The sequence below is a fragment of the Homo sapiens genome, chromosome 1 (assembly GCF_000001405.40).
Source record: "Homo sapiens chromosome 1, GRCh38.p14 Primary Assembly".
NCBI lineage: Eukaryota > Metazoa > Chordata > Mammalia > Primates > Hominidae > Homo > Homo sapiens.
This window is the reverse complement of record NC_000001.11, coordinates 150,875,214-150,886,557: the sequence shown is the minus strand read 5'-3', so window position 1 is coordinate 150,886,557 and position 11,344 is coordinate 150,875,214. Positions and strand designations below refer to the sequence as shown.

The following is an 11,344-nucleotide window of genomic DNA, read 5'->3' as shown; positions in this document are numbered from 1 at the left end:
CCTTATCCTGGTCCTAATGAATAAGAAATTTTGGGGGTGTTGGCCTGTGTGTGTGTGTGTGTGTGTGTGTGTGTGTGTGTGTGTATTTAAGAGATGGGGTCTATGTTGCCCAGGCTGGAGTGCAGTGGCTATTCATAGGTGAATCACAGTGCACTACAGCCTCAAACTCCTGGGCTCAAGTGATCCTCCTGCCTCAGCCTCCCCAGTAGCCGGGACTACAGGCATGCACCACCACTTCCTGTGGCATTTGTGTTTTAACCAGCTTCTCTAGGTGATTGTGATGTATGCTTAAGTTTGGGAACTACTTGTCAACAGGATTAGTGATGCTTTAAAATGTTTTCCCCTCTTTCCTCAGAAGAATTTACTTGACACATTTGATTTAAAAAGTCAGGCCGGGCGCGGTGGCTCACGCTTGTAATCCCAGCACTTTGGGAGGCTGCGGCAGGCGGATCACGAGGTCAGGAAATCGAGACCATCCTGGCTAACACAGTGAGATCCGGTCTCTACTAAAAATACAAAAAATTAGCTGGGCGTGGTAGCGAGCACCTGTAGTCACAGCTACTCGGGAGGCTGAGGCAGGAGAATGGCGTGAACCTGGGAGGCGGAGCTTGCAGTGAGCCGAGATCGCGCCACTGCATTCCCGCCTGGGTGACAGAGCCAGACTCCATCTCACAAAAAAAAAAAAAAAAAAAAAAAAAAGTCATAACCGGGCCAGGCATGGTGGCTCACGCCAGTAAACCCAGCACTTTCGGAGGCTGAGGCAGGTGGATCACTTGAGGTCGGGAGTTAGAGACCAGCCTGGCCAACATTACAAAACCCCGTCTCTACTAAAAATACAAAAATTGGCCAGGTATGTTGGTGTGCGCCTGTGGTCCCAGCTACTTGGGAGGCAGAGGTTGCAGTGAGCCGAGATGGTGCCACTGCACTCCAGCCTGGGCGACGGAGCCAGACTCCATATCAAAAAAAAAAAAAAAAAATCTGCTTTATTCTTTTTAATGGCTGCTGAGTACTCAAGTAGTCCATTTTCTCTGTTGGTGGGCTTTTGTATTGTTTCAAATTTCTTATAGCAACATTGCAATAAATATCCGTGTTTGTGTGTGTATATATACATACACATATATACATACATACATATATATACACATACATATATATACATACATATATATATATATATATATATATTTTTTTTTTTTTTTTTTTTTTTTTTTTTTGAGATAGAGTCTCACTCTGTCACCCAGGCTGGAGTGACAGCCTTGTATATATATTTCTCTGGGCACTTGTGGAAATGTTTTTGTGGAATAAATTCCTCCAAATATTAAAAATATACATGCTAGGTTGTAGGATATGCACATTTGGAATTTTAATAGATATTACCAAATTACACACTAAACGGTTATAGTAATTTACACTCCAATCAAATAGGCATGAAAGTGCCTTTTCTTTTTTTTCATAGCTTCACCAATGTAAGTTACTCAGAGTCTCTGAAATATTTGTTGAGCTAATTGGTTAAAAACAATATCTCAGTTTTTAGGCTGGGAACGGTGGCTAACGCCTGTAATCCTAGCACTTTGGGAGGCCGAGGCGGGTGGATTACCTGAGGTCAGGAGTTCGAGACCAACCTGACCAACATGGTGAAACCCTGTCTCTACTAAAAATACAAAAAATTAGCCGGACATGGTGGTGTGCGCCTGTAATCCCAGCTACTTGGGTTGCTGAGGAAGGAGAATTGCTTGAACCCAGGAGGGTGAGGTTGCGGTGAGCTGAGATCGAGCCACTGCACTCCAGCCTGGGCAACAGAACAAGAAATTGAGACTCCATCTCAAGAAAAACAAAAACAAAAACAAAAACAAAAAAACCCCACAATATCTTTTTTGTTTTGTTTTGTTTTGTTTTTGATTTTTTGACACAGCGTCTTGCTCTGTCGCCCAGCCTGGAGTGCAGTGGTGTGATCTCGGCTCACTGCAACCTCCGCCTCTGGGGTTCAAGTGATTCTCCTGCCTCAGCTTCCTGAGTAACTGGGATTACAGGCGCACGCCACCATGCCCGGCTAATTTTTGTATTTTTAGTAGAGACGAGGTTTCACCATGTTGGTCAGGCTTTTCTCGAACTCCTGACCTCATGATCTGCCCGCCTCGGCCTCCCAAAGTGCTGGGATTACAGGTGTGAGCCACTGCGCCTGGCCCAATATCTCAGTTTTTTAAAGATTGCATTTCTCTAATTACTACAGTATTTGAATCTCTATTGATTTACATATTTTGCAGATACATACAAACCTATCTTCACCTTACCTATCCTTTTCCCTTTTGACTGAGCTATTAACCTTTTACTTATTGATTTGAAAATGTATATCTATCTACAAACATAAGTACACACAGATACATTTTTACACATTTTTTACTTATTAATAACTTTTTTGTGATACATGTGGTTCCCAGTGCCTATCCTCTGACTCCAACTCTCTCACTTTTGAATTTGCTATCAACATCAGCTTCCAGAATTAAACCTCTCTTCTCAGTCCAATAACTTCTGGCTTCATTTGCTTCCCAGACCAGTCTCATCCCCTTTCAGATATTTTTAAACTAGGGTCTTCTGCAATTCTAGAATCTTCCATCTTCAAGATACTGATCAGTTCATCATCTCTCCAATTGTGGGTAAACTGTTCACTTTCTTTCCTCAGGTTTCTGAGTATTGACAGAAATTACAATGCTCCATAGTTTCATGAAAATTTATGCTTTCTAACTTTGTCTAGCTCCCCAGAGCATTTGGTGATCTTTTTTTGTTTCCTTTTTCTACTCCTGTGGCAGATTATTCACAGTCGTTTTGTTCATACCTAGTTGACTTCCCAACCAATTGCTTACAGCTGTGCAGCTACACCCACCCTCATTTCTACCTCTTATTCCCAGCAGAAGTTTCACCTGTTACTTTTCTTTGAGACTCAAAGTCATCACACATGAGTTCCCTTTCCTCCACTTCAAAATGTCTACACATTTTTAGAAAAAGGGTATCTTGGTTTTCTGAGAACACTTTCACATGCTGCCCTAACCCTGTCTCCTTCTCTCCCCTAGAACCAGTCTTGTTTTCTCAGGCATATATATTTCTTGCATTTTTTTATTTTTTTGTTTTTTGAGACAGAGTCTTACTCTGTCACTCAGGCTGGAGTGCAGTGGTGCGATCTGGGCTCACTGCAACTTCCAGCTCCCAGGCTCAAGTGATTCTCATGCCTCAGCTTCCCGAGTAGGCGGGATTACAGGTGTGTAACACCACGCCTAGCTAGTTTTTGTATTTTTAGTAGAGATGAGGTTTTGCCATGTTGGCCAGGCTAGTTTCGAACTCCTGACCACAGGTGATTCACCCACCTTGGCCTCCCAAAGTGCTGGGATTATAGGCATGAGCCACCACACCTGGATGTTTCTTGCATTTTTAGTTTGCTCCTTTCCACAAGCTCAGTCTATAGAAATATTTTACTATTTCCACCCCTAGCCTAACCCCTACCGCAGCTACCATTTGATTATTTTTCTCTTCTTTGTCATGTTTCTTGAAAAAATAATCTGTGCTAACTAACTGTGTCTACTTAGTTTCTACTCACTTCTCACCCACTTGCAATCTGGTTTCCATTCCTTAGATGTGCTCGTAGGCTGGGCGTCGTGGCTCACGCCTGTAATCCCAGCACTTTGGGAGGCCGAGGTGGGTGGATCACCTGAGGTCAGGAGTTTGAGACCAGCCTCTGTGAAACCCCGTCTCTACTAAAAATACAATAATTAGTTGGGCGTGGTGGCGGGTGCCTGTAATCCCAGCTACTCGGGTGGCTGAGGCAGGAGAATCGCTTGAACCAGGGAGGCGGAGGTTGCAGTGAGCCAAGATCATGCCATTGCACTCCAGTCTGGGCAAAAAAAGCAAAACTCCATTTAAAAAAAAAAATTATTTGTTGTTTATCCAGCATTCAGATCAAACTGGCTTAGCTTTATTTTTATTTGCTAAATCTGGCAACCATACCCAGAGACACTTAATAAAACTTTGGAGGCTGGTCTGAGTGCCTTGGTGTTTACAACTAATTGATCCCAATCAGTTACAGATTTCTTTGTTCCTTCACTTGACTGGTCTTAAAAAACAAACAAAAACAAAAAACAATTTAAAAACTACCATTCTAAATAATTAAAAAAACCAGTTTACCATAAGAGTTAACAGAAAAAAACTGTAATTTTCTATTAATTTACAAATTAATATAAACATAATAGTAATAGTATTAGTAATGGTTAAATATTGATAAGCTGAAAATGTGTATAAAAACATGTAGATCAGGCTTCACAGTCAACAGATTTCTTAATTTTTTAAAATTTGCCAACTGGCATCCTGATCTGATCTGTTAATTTTTATTTCTACTAAAATTAGAAAATCTGTATTTACAGTGAGTTTGTCAGATATGGCAAGAAATGTTTGATGGCTACCAGATAATTCTGAATAGTTGGAGCTTACAAGGATCTATTGGAGAATTTCTAGTGAAAGCATTCAGTGGTTTGTCAGATTCTAAGCAGAAGAGCAAAGAGTAACCTCAAAAGTCAAATGCTTCAACTTGAGAGAGGGCAGGAGTTGTATTCAGTTGCATTGGCTGCATTCAGCTCTGGGAAGCATTTACCCCCATTTGGTTGCAACATTTGGATGTGGTTTAGAATATGTTCAATAATGTGTCATTCATTTTTTTCCTCTGATGAAGAAAGAAAATTATCATGTGTTGGGAAATAAAATACTCTTGGCAGTCAAGGCATTTGCATCATAGTCTGCTTTTCTTACAAAATCCTGATACTTTGTTCTTAACATTAAAAATGTTTGCTTTGTGATCCACCATCTGCAGGAGAACTGCTACCAAGATGCAGATTTTTGTAATGGGGAAGACATCACTCTCTTATTTGTTGGGGTTCATTGGTTGAACTCTCTAATACAATACAAAATGTAAAGTCCTGGCAGGATAAGAAAGGAATTCCTACTCATCAGCAGAGTGATCTTTGCTGGTAAGCAATTGGAAGATGGATGTACTTTGATGACAGCATTCAAAAGGAGTCCACTCTTCTTATTGTGCTGAGACTTTGTGGTGGTGCCAAGGAAGAAGTATTACACCACTCCCAAGAAGAATACGCATAAGAGAAAGAAGGTTAAGCTAACGGTCCTAAAATATTACAAGGTGGACAAGAATGGCAAAACTAGTTGCCTTTGTTGTGAGTGCCCTTCAGGTGAGTGTGGTGCTGGAGTTTTTATGGCCAGCCACTTTGAAAGACATTATTGTGGCAAATGTTGTCTGACTTACTGTTTCAACAAACCAGAAGACGAGATGGGTTAATAAAAGGCATGAACTAAAAAGCAAAAACAGGCTGAGTGTGGTGGCTTATGGCTATAATCCCTGTGCTTTGGGAGGCTGAGGTGGGAGAATGGCTTAAGGCCAGGAGTTCGAGGTTCCAGTGAGCAATGATGGTGCCACTGCACTCTAGCCTGGGTGAAAGAGTGAGACTCTATCTCTAAAACAAAAACAAAACTCCAAACCATGACATTTAGAAGTTAAAGTAATATGTTCATGTTAATGAAAATATTGCTCAGATGAACCATTTGAGAAACCTACTTAAATCCTACTTAAAATAATAAAAATGGTTTATGTTAGTATTATCTATATCATAAAGAAGAGATTTTCACTTCAATCCTTATTAAAAACTGACAGCATTTCCCCCCCTTACTGGCCTCCATACTTAACTGTGGAGAAAGCACCAATTTATCTGTTTCTTCTCAAAGATTGTGCTCACTGGATGATATTTTACTACATTTATGGTTTGTGCTAATTTGTTCAATGTCGAATCAAAATCAGGAGAAATTTTTTTTTTAGAAATGAGGCCTTGCTATGTTTCCCAGGTTGGCCTCAAACTCCTGGGCTCAAGTGATCGTCCCTCCTCAGCCTCTAGATTAGCTAGGACTACAGGCATGCACCATTGAGCCTGGCTGGGAGAAATATATTTTGGCTATGAACTGTTTTCTGAATAAAATGGAAAGTGGGCTGGGCATGGCGGCTCATGCCTGTAATCCCAGCACTTTGGAAGGCCGAGGTGGGTGGATTGTCTGAGCTCAGGAGTTGGAGACCAGCCTGGGCAACATGGTGAAACCTCATCTCTAATAAAAGCACAAAAAAATTAGCGGGGCAGTGGTGACGGGCGCCTGTAATTCCAGCTACTGAGGAGGCAGAGGCAGGAGAATAGCTTGAACTTGGGAGGCAGAGGTTGCAGTGAGCCATCATGGCACTGCACTCCAGCCTGAGCAACAGAGTGAGATTCTGTCTAAAAAAAAAAAGGAAATAAAAAGGAAAGTGGACTGACATCTTTTTTGTAGGAACAGTGTTCTTTCTGCATCCAAAGTTATAACTCCATCAGTGTTTTTTTGTTTGTTTGTTTGTTTGTGTTTTTTTTGCGACAGAGTCTTGCTCTGTTACCAAGGCTGGAGCGCAGTGGCATGATCTCGGCTCACTGCAACCTCCGCCTCCCAGGTTCAAGTGATTCTCGTGCTTCAGCCTCCCGAGTAGCTGGGATTACAGGCATGTGTCACCATGCCAGACTAATTTTCGTATTTTTAGTAGAGATGGGGTTTCGCCATGTTGACCAGGCTGGTCTCAAACTCCTGGGTCCAAGTGATCCGCCTGTCTTGGCCTCCCAAAGTGCTGGGATTACAGCCGTGAGCCACCATGCCTGGCCTGTAACTCCATCAGTTTTGATCCCAAGATATCTTTTTCAGACTGACTCATACCTCACAAAATAATTCTTATCTAAATGAAAAATGTTTTCTTTTGTATCTTGAATTTTTAATGATAAACCAGACAGGAAGTTTCTGGGCATTTCTCCTTATGTATTGCCTATATGCTGTAAGCGGATTCATATTGTGTATATCAGTGGTTTCTACGCTTAAAACAAACATCTGGTAGCAGGTACAGGGCAGATATTGCCATTTCATGTTGTGTATCATGACTCCATGTGATATTTGACAAAGAATTCTGCCAATAGCTTTGTTACACTTTTTTTTTTTTTTTTTTTTTTTTAGATTGAGTCTCGCTCTGTCACCCAGGCTGGAGTGCAGTGGCCCAATCGATCCCAGCTCACTGCAACCTCCACCTTCCAGGTTCAAGCGACTCTCCTGCCTCAGCCTCCTGAGTAGCTAGGACTACAGGCGTGTGCCAACACGCCCAGCTCATTTTTGTATTTTTAGTAGAGATGGGGTTTCACCATATTGGCCAGGCTGGTCTTGAACTTCTGATCTCAGATGATCCTCCTGCCTTGACCTCCCAAAGTGCTGGAATTACAGGCGTGAGCCACTGCACCCAGCCAGCTTTGTTGCACTGTCTCCAAACAGAATATGTTATTAACTTTGTAGCTAGTTGTGTAAGCAGCTCTATAACAAAATGATTTCTACCAATTTTTTTCTACAGAAATGTAACTTGATCTCTTTTAACCACAAAATGTATCCACATCATACAGGAAAACATTTTGCATTTATTCTGGAAAAATCCATTTTACTTGGTAAAGAAGCTACAGCATTTTTTTTTTTTTTTTTTTGAGATGGAGTCTTGCTCTGTCGCCCAGGCTGGAGTGCAGGGGCACCTCGGTTCACTGCAACCTCTGCCTCCCAGGTTCAAGCGATTCTCCTGCCTCAGCCACCGGAGTAGCTGGGATTACAGGCACGCGGCACCATGCCCGGCTAATTTTTGTATTTTTAGTAAAGATGGGGTTTCACCATGTTGGCCAGGCTGGTCTCGAACACCTGACTTTGTGATCCGCCCTCCTTGGCCTCCCAAAGTGCTGGGATTACAGCCACCCCGCCCAGCCCAGCCAATGTATTTCTTTTGGGTGGATGATTTTTTTCTTTTTGGTGACTTATAAATATAACAACAAAATGAAAGAAAAATGAAATTTTAACAGATGTAAACAATAATATGTAAATTATGTTAAAATACCTTTGCAGTAAACTAAATAAGTGGATCAATGTAATCTGCGCAGTACATATACAACTTCTAAGAATGCAAAGCTGTTCAATAGCATAATGGGATTTTTGTTAAAATTTTAATTAAATTTGTATTAAACATTTTGTGAGCGATACATGAAAATGGAAGTACTTTGTAGTGCTAAAATTGTAGTGCTAAAATAGGGGGATGGGTGGAACAGGTTTCCAGTGTCAGACTCCTTTAGTTTGCCTCCCACATTACTTACCTGCTGGATGTCCCTTGCTTACCCTCTTTGTTTCTGTTTCCTTAATTGCAAAATGGAAATAGCAGTAGAACCTACCTCATCGTTGTTGTGAGGATTAAATGAGTAAATACATATAAAGCATTTTGGACAGTGCCTACCTCGAATAGCTCAATGCTTCCTATTACCAGGAAACAAAAATTAGCCGGGCGTGGTGGTGCGCGCCTGTAATCCCAGCTACTCAGGAGGCTGAGGCAGGATAACTGCTTGAACCCGGGAGGGAGAGGTTGCAGTGAGCCAAGATCGCACCACTGCACTCCAGCCTGGGTGATGGAGCAAGACTCCGTCTCAGAAAAAAATAAAGAAAAAAGAAAATAAATCTGCACAGCCATCATCTTATTGATTCCCTATTAAAAACTCCTCACTGGCCAGGTGTGGTGGCTCACGCCTGTAATCCCAACAGTTTGTGAGACCGAGGCGGGCAGATTGCCTGATGTCAGGAGTTCGAGACCAGCCTGGCCAACGTCGTGAAACTCCATCTCTACTAAAAATACAAAAAACATTAGCCAGGCGTGTGGCGTGCGCCTGTAATCCCAGCTACTCAGGAGACTGAGGCAGGGGAATTGCTTGAACCGGGGAGGTGGAGGTTGCAGTGAGCCGAGATTGCGCCACTGCACTCCAGCCTGGGCGACAGAGAGAGACTCTGTCTCAAAAACAGACAAACAAAACTCCTCACTCTGTCCCTGTCACTGACCAAAGAAGTTACCCATTCTCAAATTACTTTCTTCATCTATTGCCTCCAATTTTGGCTGGCAATATCTCCCATACCAAACCGTTAACACCTGGATCCTTTTAGACTACCGGTTCCATAGCAGGCATTCAAAAGTTAGTCATTTAACTTTTTCACCAGGGACAAAAGTCCTTAAAAGAGGAAAAAAACTGGAAAGGATTACAAATCACCATGTGATGTTTAGGTGCTCTTTAGCACCTAAAGAGGATTTACAAGATACATTGTCTGCACGGCAACCACTCAGACGAATCCACCACCAAGCGAAGGTTTTTAGTAAAATATCCTTTTTTTTTTTTTTGAGACGGAGTTTCGCTCTTGTTGCCCAGACTGGCGTGCAGTGGCGCTATCTCGGCTCACTGCAACCTCTGCCTCCCAGGTTCAAGCGATTCTCCTGCCTCAGCCTCCCAAGAAGCTGGGATTACAGGCATGCGCCACCACGCCCGGCTAATTTTGTATTTTTAGTAGAGACGGGGTTTCGCCATGTTGGCCAGGCTGGTTTCGAACCCCTGGCCACAGGTGATCCGGCCGCCTCGGCCTCCCAAAGTGCTGGGATTACAGACGCGAGCCACCGCGCCCAGCCTAAAATACCCATTTTAATTGCATTTCAATGACGTTACTCGGTCATTGACCTCTTACGCAAGGAGGGCGAGATTAGGGAGACAGCTGGACTTCTTCCTCGCCCTCCCTTCACTGGACTGGCTGGCGCAGTGAGTAGCCCTGCCCTTGGACGATTTGGCATTTTCATTGGTCAATTTTTCTTAGGAGGCTGGCCGTGTGTTGACTCCGCCTACTATATAGGCGGGGTCTCCCCGCCGCAGGGGCTGGGATGCTGGGGGCTGCTGAAGCCGCCATCTTGGATTCCGCGGTAGCGGAGGCGGCGGTCAGGCGCCGCTTCTGGGGAGTGGCCTTTCTTTTCCCCTCCCTCCCGGTTCGGTGGCGGCGGCTCCTCCCACTGGGGGGGGGGGTGGCGCGGCGGCGGTGGCATCTGCGGCCATGGCGGCGACTACTGCCAACCCCGGTGAGGAGACGGAGGACTGGGGCGCCTCTAAAGGGGAGGGGCCGAAGGGGCTGACAACTAAGGAGACCCAGGGCTGAGGGGACGCAGCTGGAGCTGAAGGCGCCGGGGCGGGGCGGGGGCCGCGAGAGACGGTGGGGGAGCGGTGACCTGGGGAGGGGCCCGATCCCGGGGACTTGGGTAGACTCGAGTATACCCAAGGGAGCGAGGGGGCAGGTGGGAGTTGAGGGGGGCTCCCTGTCCTGACCTCCGTTGGAGCGGCAGCCAGTGCGGGGCTGGCCCGCCCTCACTCCTCGGTCGGCGTCTGGTCTGTGATGTGGTCCTCTTTTAACCCTCTGCCCGCTGGAGCCGCTTGATGCCGAAAACTGTAGGCAGAGTGTCTCGGTTTACTTTAAGAGTAGTTTGGATTCATAAACCCTGGACCACACTGCTCTTTAGTTGAGGCGTTGCTTCCAAACATTTAAAGGTTTAGATTTTAATTTAAAAAATAAAAAATGGACATTCTTTGATATATACGACGTTTCTTTAGGCTGTTACCTCCCACCCGCAACCCCCGTCCCCGTCTCCGTCCCCGGACTATACTTTGAAACTTAGATCTTGTGTTAAGAGGGCCTGTAGGTCTTTGCCTGCTGAGGGCAGGGGTTTGTGTAATGGTTATGGTTCCGGACAGGTCTTTAGTTCCACAGCCCCAGGTTTAAATCTTGTTAGGCCTACGTCGAGGCAATTTCCAAACTCTTTCAGAAAAGTTTGATTCCACACCATTTCTCAATTTCAAAAAATAATCAAATATCAAAAAGGTTTGGTCTGTTTTGTCTAAGAGATGGAGTAGGGTGTAGTGCAGTTCTAGAGAGATCAGATCTTCAAATTACTAGTCCCAGCCCTCTTTCCTCTATGTTACAGTTATTCCTCTTTAGAAGGCATTTCATTTTAGGGGTCTAGTTTATCTTGGAGACCTTGGTTATTCTTGCCAAATAAAGTCTATCCTTTTCCAAAAACCAATATATTTGATAGCCTTAAAAAGGGCCTTGAGATATGTGTGTGTGTTGCGTGGGGCGGAGAATTTCTTGAAAATAAAACAGTAGGAGTGATTACCCCCATCCCCACGTTGAAATTTAAATTAGATTTTTTTTCATGTTACTGAAAGGCAGTATGATTTTGCAATATCCAGATTTTGATAGGACAGTTGAATCACTGAAATTTCTTTTCTACCGTGTTTCTGGGAATAGCTATTTTAAGAAATGGTTAATTTGTCACGTCATTTTTTTTTAATCTTTTAAATTTTTTTTGAAGGAAAGGGAGGTAAAATTAATCGCAAAAATTACATTGCAGGAA

At 43.7% G+C, this 11,344-nt stretch overlaps 1 protein-coding gene, 1 long non-coding RNA gene and 1 pseudogene across 38 annotated transcripts in view, besides 6 other annotated features; all 3 read left to right on the top strand.

Moving 5' to 3' along the window:
• LOC107985204 (uncharacterized) overlaps positions 1-8,390 on the top strand; it is a 48,174-nt gene extending 39,784 nt beyond the window's left edge. The window contains exons 2-3 of the long non-coding RNA XR_007066618.1: positions 4,853-5,228; positions 7,069-8,390. This is a non-coding gene — a long non-coding RNA (uncharacterized LOC107985204). The remainder of the gene's footprint in view (positions 1-4,852; positions 5,229-7,068) is intronic.
• Positions 391-535: an enhancer, noted in NCBI's record as "145 bp 1:150858571 sequence used in MPRA reporter constructs". NCBI's record gives its function as "activates a minimal TATA-containing promoter with rs12404199 allelic activity by MPRAs in UACC903 melanoma cells {active_cell/tissue: UACC903}" and the evidence as "EXISTENCE:reporter gene assay evidence [ECO:0000049][PMID:36423637]".
• Position 463: a transcriptional cis regulatory region, noted in NCBI's record as "rs12404199 or 1:150858571 MPRA-significant variant associated with a GWAS melanoma risk locus at 1q21.3". NCBI's record gives its function as "allelic transcriptional activity by MPRAs in UACC903 melanoma cells {active_cell/tissue: UACC903}" and the evidence as "EXISTENCE:reporter gene assay evidence [ECO:0000049][PMID:36423637]".
• Positions 2,156-2,300: an enhancer, noted in NCBI's record as "145 bp 1:150856806 sequence used in MPRA reporter constructs". NCBI's record gives its function as "activates a minimal TATA-containing promoter with rs36008098 allelic activity by MPRAs in UACC903 melanoma cells {active_cell/tissue: UACC903}" and the evidence as "EXISTENCE:reporter gene assay evidence [ECO:0000049][PMID:36423637]".
• Position 2,228: a transcriptional cis regulatory region, noted in NCBI's record as "rs36008098 or 1:150856806 MPRA-significant variant associated with a GWAS melanoma risk locus at 1q21.3". NCBI's record gives its function as "allelic transcriptional activity by MPRAs in UACC903 melanoma cells {active_cell/tissue: UACC903}" and the evidence as "EXISTENCE:reporter gene assay evidence [ECO:0000049][PMID:36423637]".
• On the top strand, positions 4,828-5,354 carry RPS27AP6 (RPS27A pseudogene 6; annotated as a pseudogene).
• Positions 9,627-9,900: a silencer, noted in NCBI's record as "fragment chr1:150849134-150849407 (GRCh37/hg19 assembly coordinates)". NCBI's record gives its function as "represses an EF-1alpha promoter that drives an FKBP-Casp9 reporter gene in an ReSE screen in K562 erythroleukemia cells {active_cell/tissue: K562}" and the evidence as "EXISTENCE:reporter gene assay evidence [ECO:0000049][PMID:32094911]".
• Positions 9,904-10,333: a silencer, noted in NCBI's record as "silent region_1306". NCBI's record gives its function as "represses an Ori minimal core promoter by ATAC-STARR-seq in GM12878 lymphoblastoid cells {active_cell/tissue: GM12878}" and the evidence as "EXISTENCE:reporter gene assay evidence [ECO:0000049][PMID:35858748]".
• Positions 9,959-11,344, top strand: part of ARNT (aryl hydrocarbon receptor nuclear translocator) — a 66,887-nt gene continuing 65,501 nt past the window's right edge. For all 37 annotated transcript variants that reach the window (XM_047420740.1, XM_047420734.1, XM_047420716.1 and 34 more), the window contains exon 1: positions 9,959-10,015. In XM_047420740.1, the coding sequence (XP_047276696.1) occupies positions 9,991-10,015 (25 nt within the window). In that variant the 5' untranslated portion in view covers positions 9,959-9,990. The remainder of the gene's footprint in view (positions 10,016-11,344) is intronic.